The 21,032-nt window shown below is 44.2% G+C and overlaps 1 long non-coding RNA gene across 1 annotated transcript; it reads right to left on the bottom strand.

Moving 5' to 3' along the window:
• Positions 1-689: 689 nt before the first annotated feature.
• On the bottom strand, positions 690-19,420 carry LOC124903499 (uncharacterized). The gene is made up of 3 exons (XR_007064653.1): positions 19,331-19,420; positions 3,079-3,164; positions 690-1,029 (listed from the first exon to the last, which is right to left on the bottom strand). It is a non-coding gene; the product is annotated as an uncharacterized LOC124903499 (long non-coding RNA).
• Positions 19,421-21,032: the final 1,612 nt, after the last annotated feature.

Below are 21,032 nucleotides of genomic sequence, written 5' to 3'. Positions count from 1 at the left end.
AGCAGGACTGCAAAGGAGGCAGGCAGGGAAGTCCCTGGAAGGCTGCCGGGTCAGAATTCACAGCAAAGCATCGGTGCTGGGCTTGGCATCACTGCCGGTCAGCAGGCTCAGCAGCCTGAAAGGAGAGCTGCATGTGCAGTGGAGAAAAGTGACCTGCTGGAACTCTTGGGCACCTCCACGTGGATCTCACCTCTCTAAACCAACAGTAACCCCCAGAGGGGAGAGGCTTCACTTCCCCTCCCAAATCCTACACGAATTCACATTGGGTCAGCTCAAATCCGGAACACCCTGGGAAATGTAGTGCCCAGTGGAAACAGGTTGACTCTAGAACAATCCAGCTCAAGGAGTTACAGACTGATGCTCCTTTTACTTTTTAAATTTACACTTTTTATTTCATGTCAGTTATATCTTAGTGACTAGGAGACACCTGGATTCTGTGATTCTCATTTGCCATTTGGCACATTTCAACGCATCCTTCAAAGAAGCCAAGAGCACATGCCGATGATGCACAATTTGCAATTTGTTCTCGAGGGAATCAGCAAACAGCTGTTCTCTGGCCTTGGGCTACTTTTGAAAATGCAGTCAGTGGCCAGAGAAGGTCGTGTGGGAGAGAAGCAGATTTGTGACAGGCTCAAACTGGTGACTGGATGGACTTTAATGAAAAGAGAAATCACAGAAATAACTCACATTCACGGTCGTCGTCATTGTTTGTATTTTCCAAGTTAAAAAATTTAAGACCAAGTTTCCAGTTATTGGAGGGCCCCACGTGGAGATGGGCAGCAGCTGTCAGGGACGTTGCAGTCAAATCATTGATATGTTTTCGCATAGCTTGGTGGGAAGCTGCAGAGGGGAAAGTGCTGGAAATTGCTTCCTTGGGAGCTTCCTGCAGGCATGGCACACACCACCACCAAGCCATCCATTTGGCTGTTCATTCTAAGGACCACTCAGGGGACAAACAGATGATCTAACAGCTTTTGACTCAGTGGAGACAAAGCTATGGAAGGTGGGGTGAGAGGCCTCTCTGGAGAGCTGTCAAAAGAGAAGAGACAGGAGGAAGTGGGGAGGAGAACAAGAGGCTGAGCAATGTACAGGGTATAGAATGTGCAACCTGGTGTGGGCAGATGTAGAGAAAACAACTTATTCTCTGCTTGGTGACAGAGATGTAGTTCTTCTGGCACTTGATTCCCAAGAATGTTCATACACTGAAATATATTCTCTTTGCTTGTAAAGTCTGTGTCCTCCACATTCCCTTCATTCAGCAAAGGGAGACAACATTGTGTAATAAAAAGTAACAATGCTATCAGTAACAATAGCCAACACATACTGAGCACTTGTTATGTTCTGGGGATTATTCTCAACGCATGACATGCATGAGCTCATTAAGCTCTCACAAGAGCCCTGTAAATTGGGTGCATCATGGTAATGGAGCACCCAGAAATGGAGGCACAGAGAGATCGAATGACACGTCCAGGTGACAATGACAGGTGAGTTGGCTCATGCAAGGATTCACAGCATTGGCTTTGAATTCAGGTCATGAATTGCTAGATGTTTCACCTGGGGCAAGTCAATTAATGTAAATTATTTTTAGTTTTTCATCCATAAAGTGGAAATAATAATAGTTTCTATATCTCAGAGTTGTGGTAAGGGTTAAACATTAGCTTGACATTTATATGCCTGGTATATAGTAAGAGCTCAATAAATGGTCTCTTATCATTATCACTTCCTAGGATGTTTTAAATCGTTTCCATCCCAGCAGCCCTCAACCCCAACTGTTTCCCTCTCACATACCCATAGCATTGCCATCTAAAACCTGTGTGTGTGTGTGTGTGCGTGCACGCACACACGCATGTGTGCACACTCCCAGTCATCTGGGGAAGAAGGGAGATGGGGAAATGAAAGAGCCACTTAGAACTCAGACTAGCCCTGGGGACTGTGCAATTGCAGCATCCCTGGGGTGGCATCTGCCTGCCACTTTTTGTTTGTTGATTTATTTTGATTTGACACACGAGGACAGATGGCTGGGGGAAGGAGGTTGATAAGAGTCAATATTTGGTGACACGTGAATAATGCACTTGTGGAATTAATCAGCCTTGTCATTTTGGGCTAGTTGCCATGGCTATGGAGAGTCCTGGGTCTCGTGTAAGTCAGAGTGAAGGGATCGCAGCATGTCACTGCTCCTTGTTTTTCTCAATCCAAGGCTCCTCAAAGAGTCCCTGTCTTCCCCATCAAGGCCATGGTCTCAGACACCTTGGGTGCTGCAAATAGTAAGAGTGCCTCGCCTATGCCCCTGAATGATGGGATAGCCTTTCTGTCCCTCTCAGGGATCATGTGCATCTACGGCAGTGATTCAAAGACCAGCAAACAGGTCTGGGAATCAGCAGAATCACCAATATTTTGTGTTGCCGTATAAGTGCAGTAAAAAGAAAAAAAAAAAACTACGATTTAAAAAAGGAGCATTTTAATACCAAAAAGAAGGAAGGACATAATTTCAGAATAGAAAAGTCATTCTTTACAATGAGAACACATGGACACAGGAAAGGGAACATCACACACCAGGGCCGGTTGTGGGGTGGGGGGAGCGAGGAGGGATAGCATTAGGAGATATACCTAATGTTAAATGATGAGTTAATGGGTGCAGCACACCAACATGGCACATGTATACATATGTAACTAACCTGCACGTTGTGCACATGTACCCTAAAACTTAAAGTATAATAAAAAAAGAAAAAAAAAGAAAAATGGTTCTTTAATTAGAAAAAATTTAGTTTAATGAAAAAACTTTCCCATCATCATTTTTTTTCTCATTTCATTGATGACTAGTGGAAACTTTTAACAGATTGGCCATGTAGGTATATTTCGTAAGTGTGGAGGCAAGAAGACAGAATACTCAAAACAGTGCTTCAGGTGGAATTCTAATGAGTGTGATTGTTGGAGACATGGGGCAGAACAATGAGCTCCTTGGTGCCTCAGTGTGCCCCGTCATAAAATGAGTATATCTGTTCTCACCTTGTTTACTTCATGGGGTGGTTCTGAGGATTAACTAGACAATATAGGTGAAAACAAATGGTGACTTCTTACCAAATTTGGGAGCTCCTCAGAGGCAGCAACTATGTCCTGCGGTGTCCCTAGCGTCGGTTATGTGGAAAGTACTCAGTTCAAGTGCACTGAATAAATAAGACAGCAAGTTAAAGGAGTGACTGTAATAGCAGGGAATCAAACCAGACAGGAGGGGAGGGGAGGGCACTGGAGGACAACGGGCTCGGCTACACCTCCCTCTTCTTTCTAGGTCAGCAGCTACTTAATCAGAAAGATCAACTCAACATTTTCCCTTGACCCAATTAGATTATCGAATCTCCAATAAACGTCATCTGTTATCTCTGGAATCCAGGTAATTTTCTGTTTCTTGGGGAAGACCTTTGCAACGGTGATTGTTATTACGACTTGAGACACACTGGTTGGAGGTGTTGGCCTTGGCACTGGACTACCTGGGTTTGGATACTGCCTTGTCCACTTCCTAGCTTCATGCTCTTTGGCAAGTTACTGACCCTTTCAGTGCCTCAGTTTCCTCACTTGTAAATGGTGATAATAACTGATCACTCTTCATGGGGTTTTATGGGGATAAAATGAATTAGTATTTGCCAAATACTTAGCATAGTACCTGGCACATTGTGGGCATTTTGACCTTCTGTAGGCAGTGAAGGTTAGTCAGCTACACTTAATACTCAGAAACTGCAATGAGACAGCCTCAAACAATGGGAAGATAAGATCATCCTCTGAGGGTCCAACCAGATCCCAGCAGATAGAAGCAAAATCTAAGACAGACAGCTTGGCCCCGCACGGATTTTACTAACTCCATTGAATATTTTAATACATTTAATAATAGGTGCTGTCAATCACAGAGACATGGTCATCATGAAAACTAAGGAAAAGGAGAGGCCCTGAGACAAAAATAGGCAGTGTCCATCAGAATGTCCACCTGAACTTTGTCTTGGCTGCTGGTGGAATGGGAGAATGTTAACCACCATCTCTTAAGGGTTCCCAGCCTGCCACTGTCAGGCCCAGCTGTAGGGATGGAGACGGCTGACCCAGCAATCCTTTTTTTGTTTTTTTTTTTGAGACAAAGTCTCGATCTGTTACCCAGGCTGGAGTGCAATGGTGTGATCTCGGCTCACTGCAACCTCCGCCTCCTGGGTTCAAGCGATTCTCATGCCTCAGCCTCCAGCGTAGCTGCAACTACAGGCGCCTGCCACCACGCCTGGCTAATTTTTTTGTATTTTTAGTAGAGATGAGGTTTCACCATATTGGTCAGGCTGGTTCGAACTCTTGACCTCAGGTGTTCTGCCTGCCCGCCTCATCCTCCCAAAGTGCTGGGATTACTGGCGTGAGCCACCATGCCTGGCCGACCCAGGCAATCTTAATAATTGCCACATTTCACCTACATAACCACCCTCTGTTCAGATCCAGGACCACAAACTAACATTCCACAGCCAGCCGGCTTTCCTCCCAGATCCATCTTCAGGAGGAGAATGGCTTTATGCCTCAGCCACCTGACCTTGGTTGGCTGCTCTCTTTGTGTCTACACTCAGACCAAAGGTCAGACCATGGATCATGGTCAAGTCGTTAAATGAAGAGCTGTCACCCTGGGAAGCCTCTCGGAAGACAGCTGTTGGGCCTTCTCCAACACTCCTGGGCAAGCCCTTTTCTTACTTTAAACTTCTGTAGGCAGAAGTCTTTCTCTGACAGCTGGCACATTAGACAAAGGCAGCAGCTCCCAAGTCCAGGAAGGTGCTAGTGTCCACTGTGCTGTGTGCGCGCAGTGAGTGCCCTAAGCAGAATTGGATCCACCTGGAAGTAACGTCCCAGGTGGCTCTTCCTTCTGCCCAGCAATTGGCTCAGCTGCGGAGGCTGGCAGATGCTAGGAGCCTCAGAGTGCTTTGTAAGAGTTGATTTAGGACAAGTCACATTAAGCCTCCATTTGTGTTGGAATAACAATGAGTAGGACCATGGCTTTGACCCCAGCAGTGTCACCAAACAAAAGGCAAGCTTAGTGACAGGAATAGGAGCAGGATTACCTTTGAGTAGCTTTTAAAATGCATGGATCCTGCGCCAGAGTCAGGTCTAAGCAGTTGAGAAGGAGCCAGAAAGGAGCCATGGAACTCTCTTCTCTTCCCCAAACATGCCTGGCCTCTGATGTTCCAAGCTGTCACTTGTGCTGCTATTTCCCTGTCTGTGGCAAACACCCATCTTCCAAAACTCAACCAAAACAATAGAGCTGGAAGGAGCTCAGAGGCACCTGGTTTGGTGGTTCTCTACCCTGTCACCACGAAACACCCTTTCATGAGTGTACTCCATGGACTCCTTGTTTTGCAAGATTTTTGTCTTTCAAATAAGCAGCACTTACCAAGTAATAATGGATTAACTGACCGAAGACTTATACATTGTCCAAACTGAACTTGCAGTCAGCAAATATTCATGTTGTGTTAATCTGATTCCTGCAAAGAAACTTGATATTTTTACCAGTTTGGAGCGGCCTGATCTCTAGCAACTGTGTAACTTTAGGTGGCCAGAGAAATCCTATGATTATTTTCTAGGCTCTCTGAGGGTCCTTGATGGGGAACCCAATCTAAACTTTACTATTCAAATGTATTCATTCATTTGTTACGTTGGGACAAATGGACAGAGAGCTGACATTGACCACATTTCTGCCACATACAGGGCATTGCGCTAGGCCCTCTCAAAGATATGGTCTCATTCAGAAGCCCCATCACTTACATAAGATGGGTAGTCCCATCATCTCATCCCCATTTTACAGATGAGGAAACAGAGGTAAGAGTCAGTAACTTTCTCAGGGGCATACAACTATTCAGTGACAGAGGTAGAGCACTGATTCAGGGTTTAACAGTTTTATTAAGATATATTTCACATACCATATAACTCACCCATCTAATGTGTATTATTCAGTGGTTTTTAGTATTTTCAGAGTTGTGCAACTATCATCACAATGAATTTTAGAAAATTTTCATCACCCATTAAAGAAATCCAATACCTATTTGCGATCACTCCCCATTTCCCCTAATCCCTCCCTCTCAGCCCTAGGTAAACACCAATCTACTTTTTGTCTCTGTGGATGGACTTGCCTATTCTGGACATTTTATGTAAGTTGACCCAGTTTTTTAGACTCTGAAATCCACATACATATACATGCCCTTGCTGAGGAATCAGAGTAGATTACAAATCCTTCCCATCATGTTATAGGTTGTTTCTTATGTTACTTTGAAAGTACACAAATACATAAATGCTACCTTCTTCATGTTTGAAGCACACAAAAATTCAAATATTATGGCACATCAGGGTAAAAAATGGCATGCCATTATGTAGCTGTCACATACTTGAATTTGAATGGGGACACATTCTCTCCTATCACTTCCCAGGCACACCGAGCACTCTGAGAGGAGAGACCTCCCTTGCCCTCTCTTAAGCCTTCTCATCATTTTGTTTTGAACCGGGTCACCGTACAGCCTTCAGGATATCTGGTGTGTGTCCCTCTCCAGATTGCAAGGGTCCTGGCCAAGGTGGTGTGAGGTCCCCTTCCTACCTGAGAGGCTCCTCTGTGTTTTCCGGCTCTCCTGTTCTATTCTCCTTAACCTTCCCTTGCCTGCAAATTGCTGCTGGCAACATGATTTATTCTCCTGCCACAGACAGTGGGGATGTTTAACACCCATGTCTAATAGTTTTACATATAGAATTCCCCTCTTGTCAGTTGCTTTGTCTCCTGGGTTCAGGTTCCTTTTTCCCAAGTGATCAATTATTCCTGCTAGGTTTGTCCTTTTGTATCTTCGGGGTCTGTCCTGAAAGTCTGTCCTGAGTATACGTGTTTGGCTTGTGCCATGAGTGTGAGCAAAATGGCTCACATGCTGCAGGCCAGGACGGACATAAGTAGGACTCCTAGAAACTGGTATTCCACTAGGAGTCACCAGCTCTTTGTTTGTTCGTTCGTTCATTCATTCATTCATTCATTTTCTCATCTGACATGTGCTGAGCCTCCTCGGCTCCCCAGGTGCTGTGAGCACGCAGGGCACAGCCTCACTCCTCACACAGTGCTCTTTCCACCAGTCCTGCTTCTCGTTTGGGGGACAAGTTGCCGAGAGCAGCTCGGTCGGGGAGACCCTAACCCAGCGGCGCTAGAGGAATTAAGGACACACACAGAAATACAGCGTGTGGAGTGGGAAATAGGGGACTCACAGCCTTCAGAGCTGAAAGCCCCGAACAGAGATTTACCCACATATTTATTGACAGCAAGCCAATGATAAACATTGTTTCTATAGATTATAGATTAACTAAAAGTATTTCTTTCTTTTTTTTTTTTTTGAAACGGAGTCTCGCTCTGTCGCCCAGACTGGAGTGCAGTGGCGTGATCTCGGCTCACTGCAAGCTCCGCCTCCCGGGTTCACACCATTCTCCTGCTTCAGCCTCCCAGGTAGCTGGGACTACAGGTGCCCACCACCACGCCCAGAAAATTTTTTGTATTTTTAGTAGATACGGGGTTTCACCATGTTAGCCAGGATGGTCTCCATCTCCTGACCTTGTGATCCACCCGCCTCGGCCTCCGAAAGTGCTGGGATTACAGGTGTGAGCCACCACACCCAGTCTAGATTAACTAAAAGTATTTCTTACAGGAAACAAAGGGATGGCCCGAAACAAAGGGATGGGTCTGGCTGGTTATCTGCAACAGGAACATGTGCTTAAGGCACAGATCGCTCATGCTGTTGTTTGTGGCTTAGGCATGCCTTTAAGCGGTTTTCCGCCGTGGGTGGGCCAGGTGTTCCTTGCCCTCATTCCGGTAAACGCACAACCTTCAGTGTGGGTGTCATGGCCGTCACGAACATGTCACAGTGCTGCAGAGATTTTGTTTATGGCCAGTTTTGGGGCCAGTTTATGGCCAGATTTGGGGGCCTATCCCCAGCACAAGTACACTTGGGGTACCAGTTGTGCATCTGAGTTGGGGTTCCCTAAGCTTTTAGATAATCATGGAGCCTCACTGTGGAGCATAGATTTACTCAATGTTTTGGGAGGGAATTATTGTATTAAAATAAGGAGTGATCTATTATGGGGAAGAATTGAAATTTAGCCTGACTTTTAAAGATAAAATTTGAGACTTCAAAGATATTTTTGAGCTTGTGGAGAACTTCTTCCACTCCCCCACCCTCCACCCACTTACCCATTCACACACACACACACACACACACACACACACACACACCAGAAACATCACGTACCAAGACCAACTTCTGGTAGACATTCACAACTTCTTTGGTGGGCACACAGGCCTCTAAGGCCAGGGAGATGAAGGAGCCTCTGAATTCTGCTTACTACTCAACTTGAAAAATCTGTAGGCAAGTTTATAATAGGTCTTTTGAACAGGGTGTCTTCCTTGAGTTTCTCTGACAGGCAGCCCACCAGGGGCCCAGGTAGCCCATCAAACTTCTAGACCTCTACTGAAGTTGAAGAGGCGAGTCCTCTTCAGTGGGCCCAGAATATAAAATCTGTTTTGTTCCACAGTGCCGGGCTCTCTTTCCTGGATGGGAGAGGGGCAAAGATGCTAATTCTGGGTTGAACAGATATGCTGGGATGACCTGCTAGGACTGAGGCTGGCACCTGTTTATGGATTGGTCAGTGCTCATGTTATCCACTGCTATAAAGAAATACCTGAGACTGGGTAACTTATAAAGAAAAGAGGTTTCACTGGCTCATGGTTCTACAGGCCGTACCAGAAGCATAGTGGCTTCTGCTTCTGGGGAGGCCTCAGGAAAGTTAAAATCATGGCCGAAGACGAAAGGGAAGCAGGCATGTCTTACAAGGCTGGAGCAGGAGGAAGAGAGGAGGAGTGAGGTGCTACACACTTTTAAACAACCAGATCGCGTGGTAACTCACGCACTCACTTAGACAGCTCTGGGGTAATGGTGCAAAAACATTCATGAGAACTCCACCCCTGTGATCCAGTCACCTCCCACCAGGTCCCACTTCAAACACTGGAGATTACAATTCGACATGAGATTTGGTGGGGACACAGATCCAAACTATATCAGTGTTTAAATATTTTGAACATCATGACTAATATGAAGTAGTCTTTATTTGTAATTACTCACCCTATTACACAACTTTAAATGCCTGCCCCCTTTTCATGAATATTTCCAGGCCCCCCTCAGATTATCAATGTATAATCCCAGACAGGGATGTTATATGGATAAGATGAGACAATATATGGAAGGCCCTGAATGACGTCCCAGGCACAGTGGGAGGGTTCAGTATATATTCTCTATTATTCAATCAATGTGTATTGAATACATAAATGGTGGAAAACATTTCATCACCAGAAATACCTTTATTATTTTGTCTCCATGCCCCTCAGTGAAGGAAGCAATGCCATAAGACAATAATGAGTTTGTTAGTGGGGATGGAGTTATCTATATTTTAAAAAGTCAATTCACTTATAGGAAAGGACTGGGAATCCCTAGTGATTTCTCCTTTCTTGGCATTGTTTACCTTCTGTTTCTCAGAACGTGTGTGTGTGTGTGTGTGTTTGTGTGTATTTGGGTGCTACTTTGAGATTGACCATATTTGCTTAATCTCTTATATTTGTGGAAGACTTACAGGCTATTAATACTTCAAAGAACTGACCTCCCTGGATCCCGCTGTATCTTGCTGGGACATAATCAGCAGGTTCCATCAAGTCTAATCTACTTAGTGACATGACCCTGGGCTCTCATATATCTAATAAGATTTTTCTCCCTAACTCTAGAAGGTATATTAAACCTGCCATTTGTAATTTACCTGTTAGTAATTATAAATGCATACCATCATTTCTCTTTTGGTCCTAAGATCCACTTGGCAAGTGGATTAGTTCACACAATTTGGTGTTCTGTACCTTGGAAGAAAGGAAAAATGCTTTTGCCTGTAACAGCGCAGTATCCTTTTTCCTTAATTAGGGATGGCTGGGCATCTTTGGGCTCTTATTTTATTCTTTTGTCGTTTGGGCCCATCTAATGGAAGCCTCTGCCTTTGTCTATCTCCAGTTACCTTTTATCTCACCTAAGAGTTTAGGCAATTTAAAACCAAACTCCCTTCTTTGGGTTACAAGGTCACTGGAGCCATTATTTTAATCTGGATTTGAATATCCCTCTCATAAAAAAGTTCATAAAAGAAGCTTGATCAGGACTGACTAATTCAATGACTTTGGAAGCTTCTGCTCTCCATTTAGGCTTCCTATTAGCTTGATTCAGCTCTGGACCATTGATCCTTTTAAGTTTCGGATGGAGAGTTTCACATTTCTTTTCTTTCTTTGTTTCTTTTTTTTTTTTTTTATGGAGACCGAGTCTCTGGAGTGCAGTGGCACAATCTCGGCTCACTGCAACCTCCACTTCCCAGGTTCAAGCAATTCTCCTGCTTCACCCTCCCGAGTAGCTGGGATTATAGGCATGTGCCCTAACACCCAGCTAATTTTTGTATTTTTAGTAGAGACAGGGTCTCACCTAGTTGGGCAGGCTTGTCTCGAATTCCTGACCTCAGGTGATCCACCCGCCTTGTCCTCCCAAAGTGCTGGCATTACAGGCATGAGCCAGCATGCCCAGCCTACATTTCTTTTTAAAGTGAACAGAACCCAATATGAATCTTCAGTAAATTATTTTCCTTAATCATAGAATAGATGGCATCACTTCCTTTATGATTATTCCTATAGACCTTTGCCAACTCAGCCTTAAGATCCAAATATAAATCACAGAACAGTGGAGATGGAAGATTTAGGATCATCGAGATTTAATCTCTTACTTCATAGACAAGGAAACTATGAGAAGTGAGGTGATTTGGCCAAAGTCACAGAGATAAATTAGTAGTTACAACAGATTATATTTCGTATAATTGTTTGCTTAAAGCCACATTTCTGAGTCACTTGTCTTAGAAGTTGGGGAAAAAGGCAGGGTGAAAGAAAAAAGTTGAGCTATCAAGGTTCAAGACAAAAGGTGAATTGGGACCTTGTATGGAAGGCGGATGTCAGAATGGGAAATGAAAGGATACCAGCTGCTCAAAGCCAAAGACAGAGCACAAACCAAAGACATGAGTGAGTCAAGGGAGGGGAGTTCATGAAGGGTTGGTCTGTGCCAAGGAGGTGAACTACAAGGGAAACTTAGGGGGTTCATGAGGCTGTGCTTTCAATTGCATTAACTTCTCTTGCAGGCTTGCTCTTTTTAGAACAGAGGAGTTTTATATTTTTTAAAAATTGAGGTAATTATTTACGTAATTAAGAAATCAAACAGTGTTAAAAAGCTTATAATACAAAGCAGTAGTTCCCTGAACAAACCCACACCGGCTGCTGGTTCTTTGCTAAGGGACATGCTTTGAATTTTTAGCTGGTTTCTCTGAGTTACGTGTGCATTTAAATACGTGGGTATATTGCAGTATTTAAACTTACAAATGTTATCAGAGATGAAGATTTAATATCTCCACCTCTCTTCAGCCTCTCACCCAAATTTTACCACACTTTAAGTTATATCAATCATAGGTCTTTAAACCATTATGACAATGTAAGTATTGTATTGTTCACTCCAGAACCCATTAGAATACTGGGATTCCATATTTTTTCTTGAATAGGCTTTGGTCATTCCTTGAGTTAATAATTGCCTGATTGCATCTTCTTTCCAGAAGCTTCATCATATCACCTATTGCATCACCCTTTCTATTGTGGGTCTACTTTTTCCTGGACACTCCTTCGTGAAGCACTATCTCTTCTGCACCAGTGAGGATTAGTGGCTCTCTAGTTCTGCCACACTTGGGATTAACTTGGGATCTTCTCTCAATAGCTTTTCTAGGTTGGATTTAGGTTTCTGGGATGCCATGTTTTCTTTTTCCTTGATTATTTCCTTGTAACCAAGATGCCTATCCTCCAGGCACTTTTAAGAAAGGAACGTCAATTATCTGAGTCTAAACAAGTCTGCAAATGTCCATTCTGTTTTCATACTTGATTCAATTTGCCTTGTTGTAAAATTCTAGGCTGAAAAATTATCTTCTTTAACATTTTGAAGGCATTGCTTCATTGTTGCCTGGCTTTTATGTTGTAGTTCAGACCACAAACACTATTCTGATTCTAATTCTATTGATTTGTTCCCTTTGAAGCTTTTAGAATCATCTTTTTATTCCCGATGTTCCAAATTTTCACCTCTTGGGAGGTCTTTCTTAATTTGTTTGTTGACCATTCAACAACAGGTCAGTAGGCTTTTGATAGTGAAATGTACTGACACCAGAGTTGGATGGCCCAGATTCAAAATCTGACTCCACCATATAGCAGCTATGGCACTGATTAACTTACTAACCCTCTCTGGGCTAGTTTTTTTGTCTGGGAAATCCCGAGGAACCTCATGACATTGCTATGAGGATTAAAACAAATAATATACATGCAGCATTTAGAGTAGTGCCTGGCACATAGTGGCAAATGCTGTATTGAGATAGTCATTGTCAGCATTCAGTTCTGCAGAATCAGCATAGCAGAGTGCCGTACCCAACCATGTGTCCCCCTGATTGGACTGGCTGCCATTCACTGATGGCCCCCCAGGAAAACCACTTGGCCCCAACCACACTCTTAAAGGCTGCAGAGGGGACTTTTGACCTTTGTTGAGTTCTGACTCTGTCATCACCAGTGTGGAGCACTGCTTTCTTGGCTGGCCAGGCCCACCATGGCAGCTGCTCCAATCCTTCGTGCCACTCACATGAAGGCATGATTCAACAGGACCTGTGTCATACCTCATGCAACTGTCATTCACTTCCTTCCCTAGGACTTCCCTGTTCCCACTAAGGCATGAGACTGTGGGTGCACCCAGCACCTGCACTTGCCTGATGGCTTTCTGAGCAGGGTCTGAGACACTGCAGGCAGCTGTGCAAGCTTGTGGGTGTGCCACTGGCCCATGCACACTTGCTGGCTGCCATTGCTGCTGCTGCTGCAGTGGGATCTGGCTTCCTTGATGGCTTCTGGAAGAGCCAGATGGAGCAGCCAAGAAGCATAGGGGAGGAAGGATAAAATCTTATGGGGCAAGTCCGACCATTGGAAATGGGAACCAGCAGATAAATTTTCCTATTTGCTCTCAGTTGGATCGTTAAGAGACTGAAAAGCAAACATCTTTACTCATTACAAATCCATGGCCAGCTTGGGAGCACCCTCTCTTATATTTGTTCCCCCTCCTTCCCTGCCTTGTTCCCTCCTTTCCATCATTCTTGCTTTTTGGGGATTGCGTTCCCCAGTGAAGAGTTAGCAAGAAAAATTTAGTCTTTGGGTTTGGTTTGTAGGAAATCCAGACTAAGACACAGTGAGTCCCAGAGCTTGAGCTCCTGAGCTGGACTCTGGTTTTGAATCCTGGTCCTGGCCCTGCTGGCTGGAAGGCACTGGACAAGTTACTCAACCTCATTATTGTCTTATGGCATTGCTTCCTTCACTGAGGGGCATGGAGACAAAATAATAAAGGTATTTCTGGTGATGAAATGTACTTCAGTTTCCTTATCTATAATAGGAGCTACCTCACAGGATTATCAGGAAGATTAAGTTAGTTAATACTTCTAAAACACACGGTGAACACTCAATAAACGTTAGCTATTATTATTCAGTTCTGTTAATTTTTCAATATCAATTTTTGATACTTTCATTCCCTCTGTTTTCTCAACTCCATTTTCTGAAATATCTATTATGTGAAAATTGGTCTTCCTGAATTCTCTATGTCTTTTATATTTTCTGTTAGATTTTCCATATCTTCGTGTTTTTGTTCCATTTTGCAAGAGATACTATCTTCTTTATATTCTAAGTCCTCTATTGAATTTTTATTTTGGTATCATGCTTAAAGCTGCCAAGATTACTTTGTTCTCTAATTGTTTCATTTTAATCATATTCTGTTCTTTTTTGGGGAGAAAGAATATCTAATATAGTCTCATATGTTTGGGGTTATTAAGTAGAAGTTTTAAAGTCCACCCTCTGTATCTGACACTTTCATCTATTCATTTACTTTTTTTTCTTCTTTTGGTCCTTTGGTTGGGGGGCTTCTAGAGGAGGGTGGGAAGTTCCCTCCAATGGCTGATGATCCTTGGTTGTTTGTTTATATTTAAGATTGTGGCAGAAATAAACTGATTGGAAGCTCTGTGAGTTATTTTTGTGTATTGGGGTGAGGGCGATATGTGGAAGCCCCTTCTCTGTGGGCATTTTCTTTCTCTGGGGAGGAACCTTCCTCTCCCCTGCCTGGGGCGGAGCTGGAGCCCTCAGTGTGTATTCAGGGCAGAGGAAGTTGCCTGTGTTCCATCCCATCGCTCCTACTCTTTCAGCTCATCCGATTTGCTTCTGTGCTCTGCTATAGCTGGAGTTCCAGCTCCTTCTCTGCAGCCATTCCCTTTCTCTGGGGAGGAACCTTCCTCTCCCCTGCCTGGGGCTGGGCTGGAGCCTTCAGTGTGTGTTCAGGGCAGAGGAAGTTGCCCGTGTTCAATCCCATCGCTCCTAATGTTTTCAGCCCACCTGACTTGCTTCTGTGCTCTGCTATACCTGGAGTTCCCAAGACTGAAGCCTCTCTACCTTCCAGTTTCTGCAGAGAACAACTCTCTAGTCTCCTCACCAAGGGACTCACAGTCGGCCACTGGTGAAGGGAGTGGGGGCTGCTGGTTTCTACTCTTTAGCACAAGGACCTCAAGATAAATGCCACTCTCCTTTCATCTGGGTGCCTGGCCCCTCTGAGCTCAAGTCCCTGCCAGCTCGGTAGGCTCTCCTTGGAGAGTGGTGGTCTCCTTTCCACCTATCTGCTCTCCCACTTCCAGAATTCCATCAGGGTCTGCTTTCTACATCCCCTCCTGTTCTCTTCATCCTTCTGGATTTATAACTCCACCTCTCTACCCTCTCCCAGCCCACCAGCCAGCCCACTTTGACTTCATTTGAGTGGGTCTTTAATCAGACGAATTTTGCCAGGAATGCCCAGTTAAGTTTGAAAGTCCAGCCTTCTACTATTTAAAAAAGAATGTTATATGCCCCAACAAGGCCAATAAAATAATTTTCAATACCTGGCCATTCACTCAAACAGGAACAAGGTGAGCTGAAAAACTTTGAAGCTATTTGGAGGGGTTCTTGGGAGCTTTTGCTACTGAGGCCAGCATTTCTTCTCCATGCCCCTACGCTCTCTGACTGTTTGAGCTTCTCCTCTATTCTTGGGCATTTCTGATGTTGCTCCAAGTGCCTGTTCCTTTGCCTTAATGGCAATGCTTCCCTTCCCCTCTCATTATCTTTTCCTTTTTGATCCCAGGTGTAGGGTTACAGATTTGGCAAATAGGATGCCCAGTTAAATTTGAATTTCAGATAAACAACACATAACATGTTTAGTATAAGTAGGTCCTATGCAATATTTGGGACCCACTTATATTAAAAATATATTTTGTTTGTTGTTTACCTGACATTTAAACTTAACTGGGTGTCCTCTAGTTTATCTGGCAGCTCTATCCAAGTGGGCTTCCTTTTATTCCCTGCAAAACAAGATAGGTCTGAGTCAGGAGAGCCAGTCTGTATCACAAAAGGGCCTTGTCCTCACTGGATTTCTGTTCTTAAAGGGACCCACAGCTATTTACATAACACATGGCAGCCTAACACCCATGCAATTGTAAATTACAGTCTGCTTATTCATTGTCGAGTTAGGAACTCAACCATATTTCTCAGCTGTCTTCAGTTCTCCTGCTTCAGATTCAATAAATAAATGTCTTGTTCTAGCATTGTTTGTGCCATTGTGTCGCCTTGTTCCTTGTCTGTTCCCATTGCAGTCTTCAGCACTCGGAACTCCCGTGCTCCCCCCGCCCCCAACTCCGCCCCCCACCCCCCTCCCTGGTAGGCACCACGTGAGATCTCCCTGCCATCCCAGTGGGACATTGCTCCCATGGTCAGCATCTCCGTTTCATTCTTTGCAGGATTTGGAGGTAATTCTAACTAGATCTCTGTTTTTGAGAATGTTACCACATCCTGTGGCTTTCCTCCTCAATAGGCGTCGGCAGGTACCAGGTGTAGTATACCTGCAGGATTTGTTAGGACTCTGCCCGAGAACATGAACTTGACAAAGAACTCTTGCCCTGAAGAAAAGCTAAATTATGGTTGTACCAATTACATGAAAGAATACAGGAAATGAATATAATGGATATAAAGTGCTCAGGAAAGCAATGCACAAAATAACATTAACATTTTCATCTGGTCCCTGTGGAGTCATTCTTTGTAAGGTCATTCCTTGAAGAGTTTTCTTTTCAAGTTGTAAGCCTGTACGTCTTATTTCACCATGAAGAACTCTGCCTGCTACATTCCTGAGGCAATCCAAGGGGTCAGCTATTAACAGAGCTGGGCTAAATATATCCCTTCCAGGAGCCTCCAGCCTCTGTTCCAGAGTCACATCCTGTGTCAGCTGGAGCAGATTCTCTCCTGCTTCCCTGCCACCAGCAGCCTCATCAGAGGCCTCAAGGTGTCCAAAGAGGTTGGCATGATAAACTGAGGGACTTCCTTGAGGACCTGTCTGTTTACCTGAAACAGCTGGTCTACCTGCTCCCCGCTGCAACTTCACCAGCCTCTATACATTTGTGTATCTACTACACATCATACCTGCCTCCACCTAAAATACAAAGCACAATCTTAACCTCACAGCAAAGACTCACACCGAAGGAGGGTTTTTATACATGAGATTCGAGGGGTTCATCAGATAGGGGAGTATTTGGCTTTTTTCTATTGGGAAGAGATGAAGGTCTTAGAGCAGCAAGTCTGAAATGAAAGCCTATATTTTTCTTTTGGTCTGCTTGGGAGTAGGGGTGCCCCTGGGTGTGGGACTTTCAGTGCTAACACTGGGGCAGTGTTGGGTAAACTGGGACAGTCGGTCTCCCTCCATAGCCTTCACCACCACTATCCTTCCAATTCCCTTCACCGCTATTTCTTATACTGGCTGAGAGAAGGAGAGACTAAGAGGTCAGAGCTTGAAATGGAGCTTTGGAAGTTTTCACCAAACCCATTCCAGATATCTTAGGGGTTTCACACTAAAACAACATTAGGAGGGATCAATAGTCACCTTCTTTGAAGGTGTTTGTGAGAAAAAGAACCTTAAGAGATTGAAGGGAAAGATGTATAACTATAGTTTTAGTTTGTAAAGTCCTTCTAAAGAGCTATTTTAAATGTTTGTATATCGCTAGCTTGAATTTTATTTTCCAGTAAATGTTTCTAATACATAAAAAATGGAAACGTTTGTGATTACAAGTCTGTAGGGTTTGAACCCAGAGCTACAGTCTGTAATTTTAACAAATCCTCCACCTATTGTTTTGGACTTCACAGTCCGTGGCACTCTGCCTCCACCTGGTGGCAGTGTACCTAAATTAAGTCGGGTTCCTCCCTCCCGTCTCCATATTTTTGTGTGTGGTAAGAGCCTCACTTTTGGGAATTGTATCTTACAAGCCAAATTATAAAGATATTAATTTGTCACATACTATCGTCCTTATTTAGAATTCAGCATCAATTTGGAGCAAAAACCATCTCTTTATATTTGCTTTATGCTTTATCTTGTGAAGTATTATGAACCTAATAAAATAATTGAATACTGCAGTCCCTTAGAGAATATGCAACTATTGTAAGCAGATACCATGAAGAACATGACGTGTGAAAATATCATGTGTATAGATTTTTTTAGGTTATAATAAATAAAACTTGTAAGAAATTTATTAATCAGACACAATTCATCATGTCCATTATCATACCGAGTTCCACAATTTTTAGGCCCAAGGATTAGGAGTTCACACTAGGGGATGTAAGTGGGGTTGCTTTTACATAGGTACATCTTTTTTTCTTATATATTCTTTATTTTCTTTTTATTTTGTTAATTCCGCAGCATGAGAATTCTGAAATAATTGCTAAAGTTCATGAGTTATTTTATCATCAACATACTCTGGGATCAGAAGACTCAAAGCCCACTTATTGCTGCTTCTTTGGGGAAAGTCATTTCACTTCCCTAGGGCTAGCTTTCCTGGTCTGTAAAATTGAGATCATAATTATATGTTACCAGGTGGGTATAAGAGTCAAACAAGATGCTGTGTGTACAAGTGCTCTGTTATCCAGATGTTAGTCTCAGGGGCATTGTTATCATGTGCAAATTGAAGGCAAAGATTCCAGTTCATACTTCCCAGCCCCTGGCTGCATTCCATTCTCCATTTAGATCCTAGGCCTGAGTTTCCTTGGAATATATCACGGAATTCTAATTCCCTCTGAGCCCACTGGTCTTCTCACTTGCCAGGACCCCTTGCAAGCCCCCAACCCTCACTCTCCACACGCCCAGCTTTTCCCTTCCCCAACAGTGGCTAAAGCAGCCTGCACCAGAGTAGAACAGGCACCTGGCCTAGACTGGGTGTGGGATTCTCTGGGGTGGGGATGGGATCCAGAGCCTGTCACCCAGGAGTGTTGTCACAGAGGGAACCGGTAGAATTAAGGGAAATGGGAGAAGCAAGGGTGTGGGGGGAGAAGAAGGGTGGCCCTCCCCTCTTCCCACCCTCTAACTACGTCCTCTGATAGGAGCAAAGTAATTTTACCTTCAGGTCTAGATTTAGCAAATATCTGGTTCTAGGGCAAGGAGAGTCTTGTCTTCCTTTATCCCTCCCCTCTCCTCCTACCTCTGCCCTATGTTCACACACACAAAGGTGAGGGGTTGCACATGGACCTTGTTATGAGCTATTCCATCTGCCTTGGTGATGTTCCCTCTAGGAGAGGCAAAGCCTTTTTCCCTCCACAGAGGGACCTTGGGGAGGGGTGGCTGAGTGTGGGGAAGGGTGAGCTGCAGCTGGCAGAGCATCCCCAGGGGGCTCTCAGAGCTGATTCCTGAGGAAGTATAGATCAGTCAGTGGAGAATGGAGCGGCCAAATGTGGGCCTTTCCAAGAGAGGCAGACACTGTGTGGTCCTGAGGCCGTGATCATTCCTTCTTCCGCTGGGTCAGGCCCTTCTCCAATCTTCTGCACAGAGGCAGACAGTCAGTTAATTTTCTTGCAGAGCTACTCTGGCTCCTGCAGGCTCATGTGGCATGCATTTCTGGAAAACCCAGTCTGATGCCACATTTCATCTGACCGACCTAACATTATTTTTGTCTTCATCTTAATTTCTTACTAAAATGGGGGGGAAACCTGTCTCCAGTCTTCTTTTGAAATGAAGTGGAGGTTTTTTAGCCCTTTGGCGGTGTTTTTGTAAGCATTCAAATTCAGTGCTGTTTTTAGGTTCTGATAGCCTCCCCAACTCTCTTCTGTATAAAGTAACAGTTTAGAATTTACCTCTTTGCTTCTAATGCCATTCTCACCCTTGGCGGTGCAGTTTCTGACAAGGCTGCATGCTGCTTGGAGGCTGCCTCCCAGGTAATGGAGGCTCCATGACTGCACTGGAGTTTGAGCAGCTTCTGAATTTCTTTCAGAAAAAGAAAAACAAATACATTTAAAAAGCATTTCCATTTGCAGGTTCTCCTCCTGTTGCCAAGGCCCAGGCTACTGTCTGGGCAAGAGCACACATAGGGTTTGAAACCTTCCAGAACAAAATGCCAGTCTACCTCCTCCTATCTGGAATCTAAGGCCTAACCCATCACTGCACCTGATGACAAGGACCTGCAGTGCTGCAGGTATGTGTTAGATTTGTTCAAACATTCTTGGAGGCTTAGCCGGTGCCAACACTTTACTTTGACACATCTGATGTTGGAAAGGGGAGGCCCATTGGCAGCATCTGCTAGAAGCACATCCAGATTCTTCAGGTCGTATCTGGGGTAGAAACTACAGCACAGGAGCCAAAGCACCCGGGCCCCATTTCCAGCGTGCATGGCAGAAACATTTCTGAGACAGAGTTTGCCTCCAGAAAATATTTCACACGAGGTTTATCCTTTCTGTGTTAGTGAAACCATAACTGGTAGTACTGTCTACTATCTCATGTAACACCTTTCATATGAAATTCAAATGGAAATTTTTTTTTGCATGAGATTATTGCCAGAAAACATTTTGTCCCTATAGATAAAATTTTGGTGTGAAAAATAAAATTAAAATTATAGACCGGGTGCGGTGGCTTTTGCCTGTAATCCCAGCACTTTGGGAGGCTGAGGCGGGCAGATCACGAGGTCAGGAGTTTGAGACCAGCCTGGCCAACACAATGAAACCCCATCTCTACTAAAAATACAAAAAATTATTTGGGCATGGTGGCGTGCGCCTATAATCCCAGCTACTTGGGAGGCTGAGGCAGGAGAATTGCTTGAACCCGGGAGGCTGAGGTTGCAGTGAGCCGAGATAGCACCACTGCACTCCAGCCCAGGTGACAGTGCGAGACTCCATCTCAAAAAAAGAAAGAAAGAAATTGTATAGTACATCATACTTCTCTCCAAGTCTCCAAGTCTTGGATGCCAGATAACTTAAGGTTAAATTCATTGTCCAAATATGCTCATTTGCTCAAGTCAAGTGCTTGAGACGTATTTCCCTGTAGCTGTTTTTTGGGGTTTTGTTTTTGCTTTTTCTATTGTATTATTTATCTACCTATGTACCTATCCAAGCCTCCATCCATCCATCCATCTAGCATTTTTTTCTTTTTTGGACTCAGTTTTAACCTGTATAAGGGCCCAACTCCTTGGCAGAAGCAAGTATAAACTAAACTTGAAATTAATTGCTCTGGTTGTGAAAGAAATGGCTATTTTAAAATTGCGGTAATTTCTCCACATTGTTACATTTATACATTTTTTTTAAACATTAAGTGGTGAAGCCAGGAGACTCAGGCACACAGAACGAGACCCATTTCTATTTTCTTTGGCAGGGGAGTTGCACTAGGTGAGTGGACAGCCCAGCAGCAAGGGACATGTCTGGGGGTGGGTCAGGGACAGGCCTCTAGCTGGGCAGTGTGTGAGCACTGGGGGATGACAGCTGTGTCCTGACTGGCTGCTGCTGTGCCAAGACCTTGGCTGTGTTTCCTGCTTGGGTTCCATCCCACAATCATGCACTGGCTTTTCTG

This window comes from Homo sapiens, chromosome 15 (genome assembly GCF_000001405.40).
Source record: "Homo sapiens chromosome 15, GRCh38.p14 Primary Assembly".
In the NCBI taxonomy this organism is placed as follows: domain Eukaryota; kingdom Metazoa; phylum Chordata; class Mammalia; order Primates; family Hominidae; genus Homo; species Homo sapiens.
Note: the sequence above shows the minus strand (reverse complement) of the source record. Positions and strands in the feature narration are given on the sequence as shown.